Here is a 20,042-nt window from a genome sequence, read left to right as displayed (position 1 = left end):
GGACTGGCAGGCAGCTCCACCTGCAGCCCCGGTGCAGGATCCACGGGGTGAAGCCAGCTGGGCTTCTGAGTCTGGTAGGGACTTAGGGAACCTTTATGTCTAGCTAAGGGATTGTAAATACACCAATCGGCACTCTGTATCTAGCTCAAGGTTTGTAAACACACCAATCATCACCCTGTGTCTAGCTCAGGGTTTGTGAATGCACCAATCGACACTCTGTATCTAGCTACTCTGGTGGTGACTTGGAGAACCTTTGTGTTGATACTCTGTATCTAGCTGATCTAGTGGGGACGTTGAGAACTTTTGTGTCTAGCTCAGGGATTGTAAACGCACCAGTCAGCACCCTGTCAAAACGCACCAATCAGCTCTCTGTAAAATGGACCAATCGGCTCTCTGTAAAATGGACCAATCAGCAGGATGTGGGTGGGGCCAGATAACAAAATAAAAGCAGGCTGCCAGAGCCAGCAGTGGCAACTGGCCCGGGTCCCCTTCCATAGGGTGGAAGTTTTGTTCTTTCACTCTTTTCAATAAATTTTGCTGCTGCTCACTCTTTAGGTCTACACTGCCTTCATGAGCTGTAACACTCACTGCGAAAGTTTGCAGCTTAACTCCTGAAGCCAGCGAGACCATGAACCCACCGGGAGGAACGAACAACTCCAGACGGGCCGCCTTAAGAGCTGTAATGCTCACCGCGAAGGTCTGTAGCTTCACTCCTGAGCCAGCGAGACCACAAACCCACCAGAAGGAAGAAACTCTGAACACATCCGAACATCAGAAGGAATGAACTCCGGACACGCTGCCTTTAAGAACTGTAACACTCACCGTGAGGGTCCGCGGCTTCATTCTTGAAGTCAGTGAGACCAAGAACCCACCAATTCCGGACACACTAGGGCTCAGCGAGGGCAGAAGGAGGAAGGGACAGATCCAGGCACTGATCCCTTCTGCCTGCTCTGTGGGCACCTCTGCTGTACTAATAAAGTCTGTCTGCACTGCAAGAAGAAAAAAAAAAAGAGAGAAAAGGGAAAGAAGAAAGAAAATTAAAAAAAGCAGGAATGAAACATATACAAGTAAAAATGTAAAAGGAACAATAAGAAACATTAAGAATGAAAAATATAGAAAACAAAATACATACCTCAGTGGATAGACTATTCTAGCCGGGCTTAGTAAAAACTAACAGTTAATTTAAAAAGAGTAATGAGAAATTTCCTAAAATGCAACATACGGAGACAATTATTGTTTTAAAAAAAATTAAGAGACCTAGAAAATAACTCAAGAAGCTTCAACAAATAATAACAACAGTTTCAGAAGAAGAGAATGAGAATGGTAAAGAAACACTATTTAAAGAGAAAATAGCTGGGATTTTTTCCAGAAATGATGAAAGCCCTGCCTTTCTAATTAAATCTTATTAAATAGATTAAGTAAAAATAAATACACATTGAAAGTCATTGTTGTGAAACTGCAGAACACATAGGAAAGTAGTAGGGGAAGCTTTAAAAATTACCAGAGGAAAAAAAATTACAGATTACCTACAAAGGAATGATATTTACACCAAGAGCAGACATAATCAACAGCAACAGATGTTAAGAAAACATGGTTTAATATTTTTAAAGTGCTGAGGAAAATTACAAATGGCCTTGTATAGAATTCTAAACCCAAACAAATTACCAATCAGGAGTAAGCATAGAAAAAAATTCTAAATTTCATTGATTATATACCTTATTCAGATAGTTGTACAGAAACTGATGATTCAATATCTAAAAAGTGTCTGATCTAATCAGAGGTCAGAAGACCCTGTGGGCATGCCAATAAAGAAGACCAAGATGTTTGAATATGCAATGCTTTCAATGTGATCTGTGAGCTCCTTCTGCAAATAGCCTTTTTTTCTGCAGCTCATGGGTGACCTTTGGGTGATTCTCCTACCCAGTATGCCCACCACAAAGAGAACCAGGTTCACCAGAATGAGGATGATTCTGGACCGTGGGGTCACCTCAACTCGGGAATGTGGCTGTGCTCATTGACATGGGAGAAGTCATGCTTGGGGCCACTAGGTGAAGCCATGAGGAAAAAAACCACATCACCAAGTACAAAGACTTCTCCACTGTCTTCCTCCCAAAGGAACTCAAAGTTCTTGCTCTGAGTTCACCAAAGTGGAATAGGGTGTTCTCTAACTTAATCTTGTCTTGCAAAGTAGAACTTGCACTTCTGGCCATGAAGAATAACTAGTACCTAACTTGCCCTACTTCTGTCTAGAAATAGAAAACTGGAGAGCAGACAGCACAGACTATGATGGCTCAGAAAAGAGAAATTAATGAGTGAACCCTGTGATCACTCAGACTTTCTGCCTAAAGACACTTTCCAGACCATAACACAGGAGGGAACCCTAAGCAAAGCACAACTATCTTACCGACATGCTTACATGTTGAAATGCTAATACTTTGGGACTCATGGGTTAAATAGAATATATTACTAGCATTAAATTGCAGAAAAGAAAGGTGGCCCACTGGCCAGCATGTAGCTAGAATGGATAATATGCAGGAAAGAATATTTCAAAATCCTCATTTGGCTTTCTTAATAATAAAACCTACCCCTTGAAATGTATACTTTCTTATCCACATTCCAGTATCTGGAATACGAAACTGTTTGACGAATAATCATGTGCTGTTTGGAAGAGGTCTTCTTGGCAATAGCAACCTATGGAAATAATTATTTAACTACTAAAAGGGTTAAGGTTAAAAAGGAAGTACCTTCTAAGGGATCCAAGAAGCATTAAAGACAAGTTATATTTAGCATCAGTTAGAGAAAAGGAAGACAAAACCAAAAAGCAAGCCCCTACCAAAAAAGAGAAAACCAGAAATACCAAAAACATTATTTAATTACGTACTTTTACCTATATTTTATAATTCCAAACACAAGGGGCAAAAAAATCCTCCATAAATGGAAGTTCTTTAGGTGGTTCCAGGTATCTGCTTCAGTTTATAACTATCTTCACAGTTTACATTTACAGAAATATAAATATTATTTCTTAAAATTCACATTTAATACAAACTTTCAAAGATATTTAAACGTAGGATAGTAGTAAGGAGAATCTTAAATCTTAGAAACTTGGGGGTATGACAAGAGCAATTCCTAAATCCAGATGATGATTTTACCATTGCTATGTATAAGCTGCCATTTGTAGCAGGTTTTACATGGGACATTATTGAACATTTTCGGGGGTGGGGGAAAAATAAGAATCTATTTTATCATCTTTGATTGCAAACATGGGTTCATGACATGTCACAAAGCTACTTTCTCTGAGAGCAGTTAGTATCTCCAAACCAGGCTAGAATTTCTAAGGGCAGTCTTGCCTTTTGGTGGACTATTAAGTATTTTTTGGTGATATTTCCATGTTTGGGGGTGCATTAGGCCATTAAGATGAGCACCAAGGCAAAAATGGAGAGGTGGCAAAGCTCTAGTAATACTCTCCTGCTCAAAATGCTTTTGATGCCTGAGAAAGAAGTAGGTAGTTTTGAGCCAGTAAAATGCATACACATATATAATAGTCAAACATTATAATTTAATGTTTTCTATGTGAATTCACAATTGAAATATTGTATAATATGACACCAATAAACTGTGCAAAGGTCTTTGAGGTAGAGCCTTATTTAAATTCTGCACTCAAATACATATACTTTACATAAATATGATCTTCTCAGAGTTATAAACAAAGTTTAGAAATATGGTAAAATCTCTAGAATTATCAGAGGTAATTTAGAGGCAAAGTGGCCTGCCTGTTCAGTAACTGATATTTCAGCAAAAGGTCATAGCTTCTTCTATTGATTCATAGAGTGGGGTTAGCCTGTGGATAGACATTTGTACTAACATACACTGATTACATTCATACTACAGAATCATATGTTAGATGCCAGAGCATAATCTTAATCTTTCATCCTCTGCATACACTCCTATTTGGGTACTTAGCATGCCACTGCATTTACTCTTGATGAAGTTTGTTTTCCCAACTAGATTTTAAACATCCTTGGAGGCAGAATCATGAGATATTAAAAATCTACAAATATGTTGGCTCTTCAGCGCTAATAAATGATAAAATGTACCCAGTAAAAAACCAAGCAGTATTTACAGCCAGCTATTAAGAATCTTTTCAAACACTAATTGCATATACTCAGAACTGAATTTGTTGTTTTTCACTCTAGACCAAGCTTTGGATTTCATTTCTGAAGTTTGAATTTTCTGAGTCACTAGTAATGTCCTTGAGGATGATAGTCTGAATTTTCTCTGCAAGAGTACAAAGATTGGCTTTTTTGAGATCTTTAATCAATGTGTCATACGCTTCTTTCTTTCCATGAAGTTGATGCCAATTACGAAGCAGTTGAACTTTCTGTTCTGCTGTGTCTTGGACATTGTCATTCTTGATCTCATCTATTTTGGCTTCATTGACACCATTCTTTCGAACAAAGCCTTTAACTTGACTTAGTGTCATGACTCCAGCAATAGTGGTGATATATTTACTCAAGTCAACATCTGAAAAATAGAAAATAGTCTGAAAATTTGTTTTTCTAAATGAAATTCCCATTAGTGAAAACCATGTTTATTTCTCTTTTTATAGTACTTCAGAATATAGCTAAGTCCTAAAGGTCTATGAAGAGCTGACTAGGGGAATACAGAAACAAGACAACCTTGAGTTCTAACTCCAAATCCTGCCATATACCCAGTAATTTGTTAAATAACCTGGGCCACAATACATAACATTTCTGTATCTTCTTTTCTCATTTATAAATTAAGAGGATTGGAAAAGATCACCTATAACATCTCTTATGGATCCAATGATCAATGACCCACAAATCTAAAAGTATAAGCAAAGAGTTTATGATCATCTTATCTCTAAATCACAGATCAAAGAACAACTGAATGGAATCATGTATGTTGTTATAGAGTTGGGTACACTGATAATACCTGAGTCTACAGTACACTTTAACCTCTAGATCTTTTTAGGCAGGAGTTCTGTAATACATCTAGCTGATTATGAAGGAAAAGTTTCTTAAGCCTCAGACTATTGTGTCTTATTGTTACTTGATTATTTTTAACTATGAGTATTCATTATAAATTTAAACAAACTGCCTGATAAATGCTTTATGCTGAGCAGGTAGAATTGTATGAGAAATAACAAGATCCCATAATATGTCACTGAAATTAGTAACATTATTTTACTCTGAAATTGGCCTATTACTCTAAAGGATGCCATCTCTATGAAATAAAATGATAAAAGCCTTACCAGATAAATTTATTGCCACTGTTTCCTAGAAAGCAAAAAATGGAAGCAGAGAAAGACAAATAAAAATATATCTTTAGAATATTCTAAATGTGAACTTCTAATTTTTCCTTAATTCAGAAAGAAGTACAATCAGTTGCTTGATGTATAAAATTAGGAAGCTAGATTAAGTGATTAAGAAGGTTACTTTTACCATTCAATTTTTATTCTGAAAGGTTCCGGCCTTGCCAGAAACTAAGCAATATTGTCTTAGTTTTTAAAGGCAAGAAACCTAAAGAATTCATAAAATAGGTTGAGGTTATTTTTCATATAGACTTATTAAAATAAATAATAAATATAACTACTCTAAAATTTTCTTCCCTGTAACTATTCTTATTCTTAATACCAGAAAATGGCTCAAATTGAAATTTTTTTTACCATATTAATTTAAAGAATCCTAACTCCCACTGAGCCCTGGCCCCAAATAAGAAAATAATTCCATTAAGTGCAACTGGTTTCTTTTCTCGGTGTATTTCTTGCTATCTGAAATATATTGATACCATGTTGGGAAAAGATATGGTGAGACATAAGGTCAACCGGCAGCCAGAGAAAGTTAAGCTGTGCCCTTATGACAAACTTTAAGAGCAATCTCTTTGCTCAGGCTTGGATACTGAACCCATGCCTGGTAAAGGCTGTTTCTCTGCAGGGATAACAACAACACGGAACATGGAGGTTGGCCAAGTTCTTTTTTCAGCTCATTTTCAGCACACTCTCAATTCCCTCCTTTGTTGATTCTTACGGTTTTTGTGTACAAGTTTACTTTTAATTTGGGTACCATATCATAATTCATCTGTGAGGCCCCTTTAACCTATGCACCCACAAACACAAGCAATGTTTAAATAAAGAAAGTAACAGGCCGGATGTGATGGCTCACACCTATAATCCCAGAACTTTGGGAGGCTGAGGCAGAAGGATTGCTTGAGGTCAAAAGTTTGAGACCAGCCTGGGCAACAAAGTGAACCCTGTCTCTATAAAAAATAAAAATAAAAAATTAACCTGGCATGGTGGTGCATGCCTGTAGTCCCAGGGTCACAGTTGAGGCAGGAGGATCACTTGAGCCCAGGACTTTGAGGCTGCAGTGAGCCATGATTGCACCCCTGCACTCCAGCCTGGGCTATGGAGCAAGACTCCATCTCAAACAAAATGAAACAAACAAGAAACAAAAAAGTAAAAGGAAGTAACAAAAAGCCAAATCACTAATTTCTCTATTTTTCTTTTCAAGGAAAGCTGATACCTATTTCAATACCTACAGGATTTAAAGTTGGAGATTCATGAGAACCTTGGTTTTCCTTTCTGTGCTTTCTGCATGTTTTCTGTACTTCCTTTCTCTTCACTGAAAGAACAAAGAAATTTTATCAACTCAGGTCTCAGCCTTGTAGAATGCATGTGAGAACATACTTTCACACTAAGAGAAATATAAGAAGGAAAAAGGAGAAATTCAGTGAAACTTAAAAGTGGCCAAACATCGCAGGAGACCGCTGATTTTGGAACTTTCGTACTACTAAGTCAAGTGTTCTAGTGAAAGGACATATCTTAATTAGTCATCTAATTACCACAGGCTGGCCTAGCAAGGAGATGGCTTTTGACTTACCATATGGCAAGCACCACTCTCTGTCCAGCAAAGATGTGGACGGCAAGACTATGGCAGGATGCAGAAGCCGTAGGACAAGCAAGTCAACATCAACTTGCTATGGATGCCCAGAAATGAAATACACACACAAATAACTCAAGCATACATACTCAATAGGTGTATGCATTAAAGTCAATGTGAGATAGAAGAATCTGTATGTCTCTGAGCACAATTACAGTGCTTAAATATCCCAAATGTATTTTCAGCTAAACAACCGCTAAAGGCAAGGCAAACTTTCTTCTTCAACTGAACTGAAGAAACAGATAATTGTTCTGAGAAGGGAAAATTGAATACTTCTAAGTTACTGAAAGTTGGTGTGACCCTGTAGTTGATGAATGACTTAAAGGGATTTTTCTAGACTAATTATGATAATATCTAATTTTGGCTTTTCTACTGACTCTACTAAGTCACCTTTGTATAACATGTGTCCCCATAGTATTTTAAGTTAAGAAGGAGAAATAATTAAAAACAAGCAATTAGGCCGAGGAAGAGGAGGCAGTGAAGTACAAGTTTTTAAAGTGTTCCCTGCAATGTGTTTCCTGGGAATGCCTTTGCTTCTTGTGTTCTCTTTTTGCATAGGGAGATCTCAATGAATAGTGAAGAATTGCTTCTGATTTTTGGCCAATTCTGCTGCTGCAGAGAACACCTGTTCATAGGAAGGATGAGAATACCACTCAATGCCCCAAAACTGTTGCTCAGAAACTAGCTGAGGAATAATTTCATTTGTTCTTATCAGTCAGCTCTCAAGGCTGCATTCAGGGGCAAGAAATTAACAATACATAAATCTACCAAAGTGGTAGCTTTTTATAGGTAAGAATGAGGCAAATCTTTGTGAACTACTTCCCAAGTTATTTCAATCTGCAGTTTGAACAAAGCAAGAACTTACCCCAAACAATTAGTGGAATTGGCAAAAGAAGAAGACAAAGCCACCCCAAGTTAGATCTGGATCCTGTAGGTTGGAACATTGGACATTTTATATGAAAATAAGCAATCTTTAAGATTAAATAAAGGACTTTCTAGTAATCAAGAGTGATTGGTTTTTCTTCACATCTTTCCATGGGGTTGGGGGAAAGGAGAATATAACCGTAAAAAAATAATTACCTTCCTCTTTGCACTTGGTGTTGCTGGTGAGTGTGCATTCCTTGATGATTCCATGTTCACATCTAGAAAAAAAAATACAGGAGAAATTCAAAAGCCTGGCAGAATAATTCCTTTATAATTTTCAATGGCACTTTGTAAATTAGGGGCCATTTTATTCATCTTTGCATCTCTGGCAAACGTATTCCTTCAAATATTTCTAAATTAGTATCTAAAGCTGGCACAAGTTAATATAATTTGGATGGCTGGATGAAAAATATCATAAGGAATGACTCTGTCTTAAGATTTCAAGAGTTAAAGGAAGATAGGAAAATAGTGACACACAAGAGAGATGAAGTGGATACAAAAATAAACTTAAACCTAGTAATAAACTGAACACGTAAATCCTATAGCTTAAACTAGCTCTTAAAATAAACTGTCAAAAGTAATTTCAAAAAATTCCTATAGACCAAGAAAATGGCCAGGTGATAGCCACGCCCATGATGTAGCTCAGGGAGGGTACTCAGCTGGCCCTTAGAGGCTGCCACTTTTAGCAACCGGTGGTGATCAGGAGACTCAAGAGGTTCATGTGTGATTTCCTTCAGACAGACAAACATTCACAATCAGGTTGTCTGAGTTCACAGCCTCTGCCCATTACCTGACTAGGTGAGCTTGGGAAGTCACACTGCCATGAGCCTTTTATCTCATCAATAACATGGAAATAATATTATCTATTTCAAAAGGTTATGATGACAAGAAAATTAAATCAAGATTATGAAATATTTGGAATTACTATTATTGTTATTATTTTACTAAGTCAGCTGCTTCCCCAATGCCTACCTAGCCTGTCATCATAGGGGCACTCTCAGACACTTGTGGCCAGGGGAGAGCCTGGGACAACTGTACATAAAATTTTCCTAGCAAATAAAACATAAGGCATCATGTGCTTATTTCTTAAGCCTATTAGATGAACTCCTAAAAGCTTCCCAAGATGACTTACAAGGCAGGTTCTCTAACTTTGGGTCAAAACCAACCTCTTTAGCCTAAAAGACAAGGCCCTTCATGATTCAGCCCTGAACGCTTCTCAGTCTTTCCTACACTCCAGCCAGGTATTCTGTTTTCCTGAGCTTCCTTTGTCTCTTTGCAGCTGCTGTTTCCCTGCCTATAATGTGCATTCCATCCATGTGCACCTGTTAATGCTCTTTCTTTTCTTTCTTCAAGATTCAAGTCATGAGACACATTCATGTCTTCACCTCCATCTCCTCAGGCAGAGTTGAAAAGTTTTTCTGTATAATTTGTAACACCTGGAACATAAGTCTCTTCTGATGCTATTCTCATGCTGTTGAAACACAATAACCATTGCTTTCCTTGACTGTCTGTGCTTCTGGACTGATACCTTGATGCCAGGCATATGTCTGGCTCATATCTTTAGCTTAAGTGGCCAGCAAAGTGTCACCTACACAGGAAGTTCACCAGTGTTTAAATGAGCAAACAGTCATCTAGTTGCTTGGAGGCAAAGCAGGACTAGAACCCTAATTCTTAACTCTCAGTCAGTGTTACTTCCCTAGGAAAATGATAACTCTCATGTTATATCTAGTGTTTTAATCAGAGAAAGACTAAAACTTACTTGGTGCAAGGGTCACAGTGTTCACATACAGTAGAGTTACAAAAAAAGTTTGGTTTACATCTGCACTTGGTATTCTGGGTCCGGGTGCAGTTTATTTCCACTTCTAAGCCTAGAAAATCAGTTTGGAAACTATTAGTTATAGCGGCTAATTATAAGCAGACTATGAAAATGGTGGGCAGGAGCTGCATGGATTTTTGAGATCCACTGCTTATATCAACAGTCACAGCATGACACCAGTAATACAGTCAGTGTTTAAACACAGAACAGGAAACCCCAGGTTGAAATGGCCAGCAATCATTTAGCAGCAACCAAGACAAACCTCACCAATACTTAGACGTCTCCCCTGTTCCTCTAGTCTCTAGCCTTAACACTCAAAGGGTGACCTGGGGACTGGCAGCATGAGCATCACCTGGGAGCTTGTTAAAAATGTAGAATGTTAGGCTCTACCCCAGACTTACTCCATCAGGCCAATACCAAGGTCCTCACTCAGAGACTCTGATGTAATTGCCCTGAGATGGGACCTAAACATGAAACATTTTTAGTAGCTCCCTAAGCAATTCTAATGCACTGCCAGGGATGAGAAACATTGCTTTATAGGCTGAATAGGGATGGGAAAAGCTTTATGTCCAGAGGTTTCTTCATGTCAAACAAAACTAGAAACACTTCTGTTATACTTCAATCTGGGTCCTTAGAATACATTGAGATATCCATGAAAATTCAGGTCCCCAGATGGAATTATCAGGACAAACTAAATCCCCAAAGAAAGGGGGAGCATTCCTACCTACCTTTTGGATTTCTGTGTCCTTGTATCTGCAGGCTTCTGAATTTTTCTGGCCATGAACGAGCACCATTATATAAGCGTAAGTCAAGGCCAGAAAAAAAATAATTTCTGAGCTTTTGATTTGAGCTGATGAACCCTGTTCCTAGGGTTCATATTTACTCATTCTCCTATATCTGGAAGAATTGCCTAGACTTACTCATAAAGGTCTAGACCAGTAGTTAGCTCGGCACCTGGTTCTGCGGTACCCTAGCCACCTGTCCTTCCCTTTCCTGTGTGTCAACATAGCACCACAGTAGGCCCCAATTTCAAATTGTCTTATAAATGGTTCTACATGAAATTCCAAGATTGGCCTCTTTCAATTGCATTTTAAGACTCTTACCATGTCCTTCATCACACAATCTACATCTTCTGCATTTGGAAGAAAAATGGGCTTTGTCTGTGTACTCCTTCCCTTCTTGGCAGGGCACGCAGTCTGGTTCATCCCCATTGACTGTGCAGTCCCTAGCTTTCCTTTCACCTGCCCAAGGAAAAAAGGAGCAAGTGTTTGAACAGGACACGGGCAGGTAACAGGGTGGGAACTATAGAGGGATGACAGACAATAAAACTCTTCTAAAACACAAGGGGAGGGGGGGTAGGCTAATGAGATATAAATACAATGGGGGAGAAGATTATTTTAAAAGTCATGTCAACAGACAGAAAGTCTCCCAAGACAAAAGCTAAAAGAGTGACTGAAGCCCATAGAAATAGGATGATTAGCAACAGGAGCATACAAAAAAAAAGGAAGGTTAGAATGACAAAGTACACTGCATGAAATGCCTTTGCCAAGAACTAACTTCCTTGGAGAAAGGGGAGAGGTTGGTTGGTATATATTCAGAGTGGGGATAGCTGTTACTGGCCACTGAGATTATCAAACTAACTCACATTGCTCTGACTTTTCATTTTACTTTCCAAAGTCCACAAATCCTGATAAGAAACAGTGTAATAAGGAAAAGAACATTTGAAGTTTTAAAAGCCTTGGTCAAATCTTGAGCAGCTATAAAATCTTTAACGAAGTGTTGTTTTCTCCAAGCCTAAATTTCATCCTGCATATGATGGAGATAGTAATATTTCTCTTGCATTGCTGTCAGAGCTGCACTCGGCCTGCCTAGTGAGCATGAGAGTTCTCTTTGTTCTCCCCTTTCTATTACTTTTTCATCAAAAGACAGGATATGTACTGATGAGTTTTGATAAGCATTAACATATTTATGCCAAAATTTATTATCTATCAGGCTTGTTATCTTAAAAACAAACAATTTTAAATAATATACATATTTGCATTAATTTACTTAAAAATAAAGTTTGTCACTGTATTGCTATTAGAAAGCATTATGTAATGTGTTCTCTTAAAAAATTCATTTATCTGATAGGTGTTTATTAAATGCCTATTGAGTCCTAGGAACTTTTTAGAAGTTTGATATTATGCAGGAAATAAGATAAACCCTTCATCACCAAAGACTTCACCTTCTTGGGATGCAGGCAGACAATACACAAATAAATATATTGATATCAAGTGCTAAAAAAATGCTATGGGGAAAGCTAGATGAAGGTAAGGGAATAGAGAATTAAGAAGAAAGTGACAGAAAATATCAAGGGAAGTGTGAGAAAAACATTACTAGTGACTCTAATTGTTAATGGTATAACTAGTTTTAAAAATATAAGCAGTTTAATCTGCTCTGCTCACCTATACAGCAAAATTAATTTCTGCTGTGTTTCCTAGGAACATGAATTCCTTAATAACTTCATATATTCTTTTTGATAAAACAAAATATTTACTACATGAGCAAATTATGACATGTAAATATATATGCTATTTTAGTAAGTAAAGATAATAGTCTGTCAATAGTAAAAAACAAACTGGAGATTCCCAGAACAAAATTCAAAAATAGTGCATAGGGCTATATAACATTGTAGCAATATTTAAAGAAAACAGAACCCAAGTCCAAGTATAATTTTATTTTTTGCTAGTGGTATTATACTGGTCTCTGAATGAATTGGTCTCTTTAATGAATTATCTTACAGAATGTGCCTAGCACAACTTCCTTGGTATAATGGAGATACAGTAAACCACAGGTTCTTTCGTTCCTCCAAAGTATGAAAACAAAATTTATTAAAATAAGAAAATAAGTAGTTGTTTTATTGAAAATCAGATTTTAAAATACTTTTTTTAGTATAATGGTACATATGCTTATTATAGAAATGTTGGAAAAGGCAGGAAAGTATAATAAGAACTTATGTATCAGGCCGGGCACAGTGGGTCATGTCTGTAATCCCAGCAGATTGGGAGGCCAAGGCAGGCAGATCACCTGAGGTCAGGAGTTTGAGACCAGACTGACCAACATGGTGAAACCCCGCCTCTATTAAAAACACAAAAAATTATCCCGGTGTTGTGGTGTGCTCCTGTAGTCCCAGCTACTTGGGAGGCTGAGGCTGCAGAATTGCTTGAACCCAGAAGGCAGAGGTTGCAGTGAGCTGAGATCATGCCACTGCACTTCAGCCTGGACTACAGAGTGAGACTCCATCTCAAAAAAACAGACAAACAAACAAACAAAAAACTATATATCAACAATCTGGAGATATTGCCGTTATTTTGTTGCATTCCTATGCATATAATACATACATACATGTATATGCATGAGCATATATATAACAGGTGTGTATATATATATATGTACAATGTGTATATATGAAATATGTGTGCAGTATACCATAGAATCCTTCTTATTGAATATGATGATGTGGGGAGGACTTCTTTGATCATTTAATCAAAAATGTCAATTTACATAGGAAATCACTTAAAAATACTGTAAATATTTTGTTTTAATTTATAAAATATAACTATATAATCATTTGACAATTTTGTGATATAGAAGTTATTATAATCCCAGGTTCTTTCTTAAGTCACATCCATAATGCATCACCTATAATTTCCTGTTTGTCTATTTTTCTCTTCCTTTTTCATTTCTTTCTTTTTTTCTCCTCCCTCCCTCCCTCCCTCCCTCCCTTCGTTTTTGATGAAAGGAAAACATAAACATACCAATAATCTCTATGAATGGCTTTAGAGATTTTTGTGATTTTTCCTACTACTTAACTTTTATTTTTCCCTCACAAAATTCATCAACAACATTTTAGCAGCTCATCTTTATTGAATTCTCCAAAGCACTCAACCTAGTTTTCTTAGAAATAAAATCTGTCTTTTCTCTGTATTTGTATTTCATTAATTTATGCAATATTCAATCAAATTACATATGAATATCACAACACTAATGAGCATAAACAGATTTGGAAGCAACTTAGATATTGATAAGCCTAAAATTCAACAAGAGGGAATTGAAGTGGGAAGAGTATTTAACATGGTTGGATGCCATCCAGGATATTTTATAGACGGATCAGGGAGAATCAGTTAATCCAGCCAGATCAGTTGGAAATTACTTAAGAAGGTTTATATAATTGAGGATTATATTAGAAATATATCAGAAAACATGACTTTGATACATACTATTTCAGTCTTTAAATATTCCAGAATTTACCTAAGGAATCCTACATCATATTGATAATGAAATATCATGTGTACAATATTTTCCTTTATTTTTGATTATTTTCTCAGGGTATTTTCGTATAAATTAATTGCTATCTTAGCAAGTATAAACAGTGGGTTGGGGGGAGGGGGGAGGGATAGCATTGGGAGATATACCTAATGCTAGATGACGAGTTAGTGGGTGCAGTGCACCAGCATGGCACATGTATACATATGTAACTAACCTGCAGATTGTGCATGTGTACCCTAAAACTTAAAGTATAATAATAAGAAAAAAAAGTTAAAAAAAATTTTTTTTCAAATTTTTGACTCATATATCCAAATGTATTTCTTAAAAGTTTGTAACAATTTACATTCACTTCTTAAATTAAAATAAAACAAAGCAAAACCGAAAAAGCAATAGACAAAAATCCTTGACAGTTTGATGTGCAAAGCATATTTTGTTCATTTTAATTTACATTTTAGGTTTTAAAATTATGAACAAAGATTTCAATTCATAGAGCAAATTGATTGTGTTTAGCAGGTTATAATAAAGCCAGGACGCCATTCTTTATTCGTGTTGGAGAAGATTTAAGTGTAAATGGGTTTAAGTATAAATGGGTTGGGTTATAGGGGAGATTTTTCCATAACGGTTATTAAAATCTGGACATGAAGCACAGGGAGACTGGTAGAATCTTTTCACAAACAGGACCCATCCTGTTTTACAGCTTGAGTGCTGGAAGCCTGGGAGGACAACCATGAAACATACTACAGTCCTTTTTTGTTCTATTAATCTATCACATGAACCCATGTGCTATTTTCCTTTTTTCAACTCTACTCAAAGTTGAAGAAATGTTTGCACAATTGCATTTTGCTTAGCTTCTAATTTACCAGTGTTTGAAGGATTTGTGATCTGAAATTAGTTTGCCCTTCAAAGTATTGATTTAAAAAAAAAAGCTGTTGGTTTCTGCCTGTTGCTTTTCTTATTCGTCTAGTTATTCAGCTGCAAAATGCAAATATATTTTGCAGGCTTCAGTGCCAGGACAGCTTTCTTAGAGACCTTCTGATTGAAGGGAAGTGCTGAGACATATCCCTTAAGAGGAGAAGTCTCTTGCTTTCAGAGTTCCACTATTGTTATGGTAGATCCTAATCAGTTTTGACATGATAAGCTTTCATATTCACAAATGAGTCATTTTTGCTTAGAAAAAAATGGAGCCAAATAGACCAGTCTTCTCATTTCAGAGGTGCATGTCACTTGTAAATTAAATTTATCCATAACCACATCAAATAAGCGTGATAAATATAAATAAAACTCATCTTTGGAAAATAATTTCATAGTTGTTTTTCTCTCAGTTATGTTATATAATATAGGGGAACCAAAAACTGTAAAATTATTATAGTCATGATTACTATGTGCTACTCCTAACTGTGACTTTCACTGTAATCTCTGGATGTTTTGTGTAACATACCTGGAGGACAGGGCTTATGGCAGAATTGGCCATCATGATGCAGGCCTTCCAAGTTCTGAGTCTCAACTGTAGTAACAGTCTTCCTCAATTCCAATCCCTTGGAGTTGATGTCAGTCACTTGGGCATTAACACTTTTGGACGATAATCTAGCAACAGACGTAAGAACCTGTAAAATAAAAGCATGAAGAGAATTTTATTGATTTCTGAAGTAAGCAACGTGGTAAACAAGTGTAACCCACCCAAAATTGGCAGTATCTGCTGTGCACAGGCAAAGACAATGTGAGGGCTCCACTGTCTTTCAGATTTCTCTCTCCAAGAAAGCAGCAGGTCACTTGTATAGCAGTTTGGATCTCAGGTTCTTCAAACCACACTAGAAACAGCACCATGAATGATAGAAGCCAGGTGTTCTAAGGTGAACAGGGCCTCCCACTTACTGCCCTGTGTTTGTGGGTAAAATCACTTACATTCTCCAAGTCTCAGTTTCTTTATCTATAAGTGGAAATAACCTCTTCCTCACAGGCTTGTTGTGAAAATACGTGGAATAATGCACTTAAAGCTGTTAGCACAGAACCTGGCACATAACAAATACATGCCCAATAAGTGTGCTACTTTTATTATTAAAGTTTCAGTGAGGGGGAGCATAGTGGAGAAGGAAAGAGAAATTTCAAAACAACTGTGGTTTGAACCCCAGGTCTGCCACCAAAGATGCATATCTGAGAAAGGCAAAGAGACAGAGGGAGAGAGAGAGTCCCCTACGGGTATAGTGCCCTGCCCTCCTTGATATACTAAATTCACCCAATATTTAGGAGACAGTATTATGAGAAGGGCCACAATTCCTGGTTTAAATCATCAAGTACCCAGGTGACAGATTACACAGAGTGCGAGAAATGATTTGTCCAATAATTCACAGTTAAGAGTGGCTAACAAGAGACTCAGGACCAGGACTTCTGGCCCAAATCTGGGCTGTTTCATATTTGTAGAATAGTTTCCTAAATATTTTACTCCATCTAGGTATGCAAACAACTCCATTTGTTTTAAGACAATTATTGGCAAGAAGCCTGCAAAGAACCTTCAAAACAAATGGATACTGGGGAAAGGGGAGGTGTTTGGCAAGAATTCGCTAAGAACCAGAATCCAGCCCCAAGACCTCCAGTCTGGGAAAACTGTAGCAAGACCCCTAAAGCCAGGGCTCTTGCTGGCGGGGAAGGCAAAACTTGCCAGCCCTGCCCTGAAGCTTGGGAAGAAGCTGAGTTTGTGTTCCCCTCCCTCCAGTTTGGGCACTGAATTTCTCAGAACAGCCGTTACCATGACTGCAACCTCTCGCAGGGGTGAGGAAATGGAATGCACAGACAAATAGTTAGAAGCTGGAAGTCATCCTAAGCTAGAATCTGTGCATTTGCTCCCTTTGAACCTCTCAGAAACAGGGACACATGAAATTTGTTCTTTGTATCCGATGACAAGAACCTGAGAGAACAATTGGATATTCACCCATTGCCTGCAGCATCAGTGAGGAAGAATCACTTTTCATAGCCAACCAGGTTACAGAGTAGAAGAAATGATGCAAGAATTAGCAGACACAGAAGATAATGACTGAAACTCTGCCCTAGCACCATGGCAGTCTGAAAGGATCTCCACACTTTCTCAGGAATAGTCAGCCCTCGGATCTAGCATGACGGTTACAAATAGAGCAACAGCTCAATGACCGAATTAAACTAACTACTGGAAGAAATATAGACCCCCATTCAGGCTTATTCCAGTGTCAGTGTGGCAAATGGCCTTGATGAGCTAGGATCTGAAAAGGAACCAAAAGAAGGAAGAAAAAAACCCCACAGACAAAATAAAAGCATATTACCTTCTTACCCCCTGTTTTTATTGAAGTTCAAAGCAAACAGGAAAAGACTTTTAAAAAGAAGCACAAAAAAAAAAAAAAAGGCATTCAGTGGTGAGAAATGACAGCCCTCAGCATGGCAAGAATGAGTAGACAGATGCCTGGAACAGTCAGTGAGAATTCTCAATTTTGAGCACAGCATCACACTGCAAACGGTTTGTTGTGATTTAGAGAGACAAAAGCAAGCTTTAGAGTCATCACAGTGAAGAGGGTTTTACTTTGTTTTTGTTGTTGTTGTTTTGTTTTGTTTTGTTTTAGACGGAGTCTTGCTCTGTCACCCAGGCTGGAGCACAGTGGCACAATCTAGATCTTGGCTCACTACAACCTCTGCCTCCGGCATTCAAGCAATTCTCCTGCCTCAGCCTCCCGAGTAGGTGGGATTACAGGAATGCACACTATGACGGCTAATTTTTTGTATTTTTAGTAGAGACGGCATTTCACCACGTTGGCCAGGCTAATCTCAAACTCCTGACCTCAGAAGATGCTCCCGCCTCAGCTTCCCAAAGTGCTGGGATTACAGGCATGAGCCAACGCACCCGGCCAAGAGGATTTTACCTCTAGGCAAAGCCCCCACAAGGGAATTTCTTCAATATGACCATTGTGCTCAGCTACTGCAGAAAAAAATGCCCTATTGATGAGGGGGTATAACGGTGGTCCAGAAAATTCAACAGTAGAAGGTTAGGGATTAAGAAAATGAAAAGTGAAAGAAAAGAGGGACATTTCAAGAAAAAAAAAGTTTCAGCAGCATATTATCTTTTAACACACAGAAATTTTAATGGTGCTTATTTCTAGTTGATAAGACTATTTTTCTTCATTTTGCTAAACTCATCTTTTCTTGATAATGCATATGTGTTTGTTGTATAATAAAAAAGTTTAAAAGGTAGCAGGGTTGTGTTGAGCCTAAAGATCTATACTGATTTATCATAACGAACTGTGTTATTATTTTTTAGTAAAATAGAAAATCTGGGTAATAATGGTAGTAAATCTATAACAGCAACTTAGTATTTGAAAGGTGGAAAAAATTCTAAACCTTTGAATTATCAACATTGAATTCTTTATATAAATTTTGGTTATTTTGCTCTTCTAGTTTTCTTTGGTAGTCTTATAATTTTACTAAATCAAACATCACAAATATTAACCTCTGTTTCATCGGATATATTTTCTTAAACCAGCATAATCAAAGCCATTTTATTTCTCTTTGGTCCTCTAGGACTAAATATATCACCACTCATTACAGCAACGTTGTTTGATGGTAAAGAAAATTCTCTTTTATTTTTGAAGTAAAATTACTGGACACAAAAATATGTTACACTAAAGAGAACTTTTTAATTTTTGAAATTGAAAGCTCAGTTATACAAATCACCAGAAACTGGTAAGTACAGTTTGCAGTAATTTCTGTCTCTGATGAAATCTTGGTTTATTTTTTCTTAAAGAATACTTACCATGGAAATGTACTTTATTAACCACACCCTGATAGATTCCCATGTCAAAAATGCAACAGGAGTTGCTGGTTGCCAATGAGACAATAAGATAAACAAAAAGTACCTCATAATTTAGGATCTCATTGCGCTGTTACTGAACTAGGAATAAACAGATATGTTTCTCAGAACAACTGTCTATTTTTATGCCTCTAGAGATGACATGGGTTAACTTTCTTGTGTGGCTTATAAACTGAAAAAAATCTAATAATGCAGTATTGTTTAGGCACCCATAGAGACTGCTCTGGGAAGAAAGACACATATAAGTTCTAGGAGGTTTGTCTTAAAATATTACGAATATTATTTTACATTTGAACCGAGTATTTTTGAAAGTGCACTTTATTATACAAGTATAATAGTTACCCTTCCATACGAGCTCAATAAAATAAAATGCTTAGCTTAAAAGTCACTTAGAAATGCATGTTAATAGATTTATCTGAAAGTTAGACATCTCAAATTGAAAGTGGACATTTTAACCCCTGGCTTTGAATTTCAAATAAATTGATGAAAATAGATGGGTTATGGGGTTCTACAGGAAAGAGTGCTCCCCACCCCATTCCTCTCAGAATGCAGCAAAGAAGTAACAGAAGGCAGAGGGGTACTTGAGAGAACAGTAGAAACAGAAAGTGAGATTTTATTTTATTTTATTTTATTTTATTTATTTATTTATTTTTTTGAGACGGAGTCTCGCTCTGTTGCCAGGCTGGAGGTGCAGTGGCGCGATCTCGGCTCACTGCAAGCTCCGCCTCCCGGGTTCAAGTGACTCTCCTGCCTCAGCTTCCCGAGTAGCTGGGACTACAGATGTGCACCACCAGGCCCAGCTAATTTTTGTGTTTTTAGTAGAGACGGGGTTTCACCATGTTGGCCAGATGGTCTCAATCTCTCGACCCCGTGATCCGCCTGCCTCGGCCTCCCAAAGTGTTGGGATTACAGGCGTGAGCCACCATGCCCGGCCGAATTTTTTTTTGTAAAGGGGAGTGTTGACACCAGCAAAGCATCCAGTTAGCTTCTAAAATTTTAAACAATTAAACTAAATGTTGGTATCTCATTATATTTACAATTTAGAGCAGAAAGGACTTTATAGATGACCTAGCCCAAACCCCTTTTCTGATAGAGATGGCAGTATCCCAACTGGTGAAGTGACTGGCCCACAGTCATGCATCTAGCAAAGGAGATTCAGGACTGTCATGGGCTAAACTGTGTCCTCCCCCAACTCCCAAATTCATATAGT

At 37.5% G+C, this 20,042-nt stretch overlaps 1 protein-coding gene across 19 annotated transcripts in view; it reads right to left on the bottom strand.

The window, feature by feature from the left end:
- Positions 1,581 to 20,042, bottom strand: part of FAS (Fas cell surface death receptor) — a 53,010-nt gene continuing 34,548 nt past the window's right edge. For 6 of the 19 annotated variants that reach the window (NR_135314.2, XM_006717819.4, XM_011539764.3 and 3 more), the window contains 8 exons: positions 15,446 to 15,611; positions 10,803 to 10,940; positions 9,643 to 9,751; positions 8,040 to 8,101; positions 7,825 to 7,887; positions 6,559 to 6,641; positions 5,273 to 5,297; positions 1,581 to 4,521 (listed from right to left, as the gene is read on the bottom strand). Coding sequence is in view for 12 of the 19 variants with exons in the window: in XM_006717819.4 (XP_006717882.1) it covers positions 4,190 to 4,521; positions 5,273 to 5,297; positions 6,559 to 6,641; positions 7,825 to 7,887; positions 8,040 to 8,101; positions 9,643 to 9,751; positions 10,803 to 10,940; positions 15,446 to 15,611 (978 nt within the window). In the remaining 7 variants the exon portion in view is untranslated. Of the gene's footprint in view, positions 4,522 to 5,272; positions 5,298 to 6,552; positions 6,642 to 7,824; positions 7,888 to 8,039; positions 8,102 to 9,642; positions 9,752 to 10,802; positions 10,941 to 15,445; positions 15,612 to 20,042 lie in introns of those variants that run through there. The other 13 variants (XM_011539765.3, NM_152871.4, XM_047425178.1 and 10 more) reach the window with 10 other exon arrangements.

This window comes from Homo sapiens, chromosome 10 (assembly GCF_000001405.40).
Source record: "Homo sapiens chromosome 10, GRCh38.p14 Primary Assembly".
Classification (NCBI taxonomy): Eukaryota; Metazoa; Chordata; class Mammalia; order Primates; family Hominidae; genus Homo; species Homo sapiens.
The sequence above is the reverse complement of the archived record's forward strand: the minus strand, read 5'-3'. Positions and strand labels throughout refer to the sequence as shown.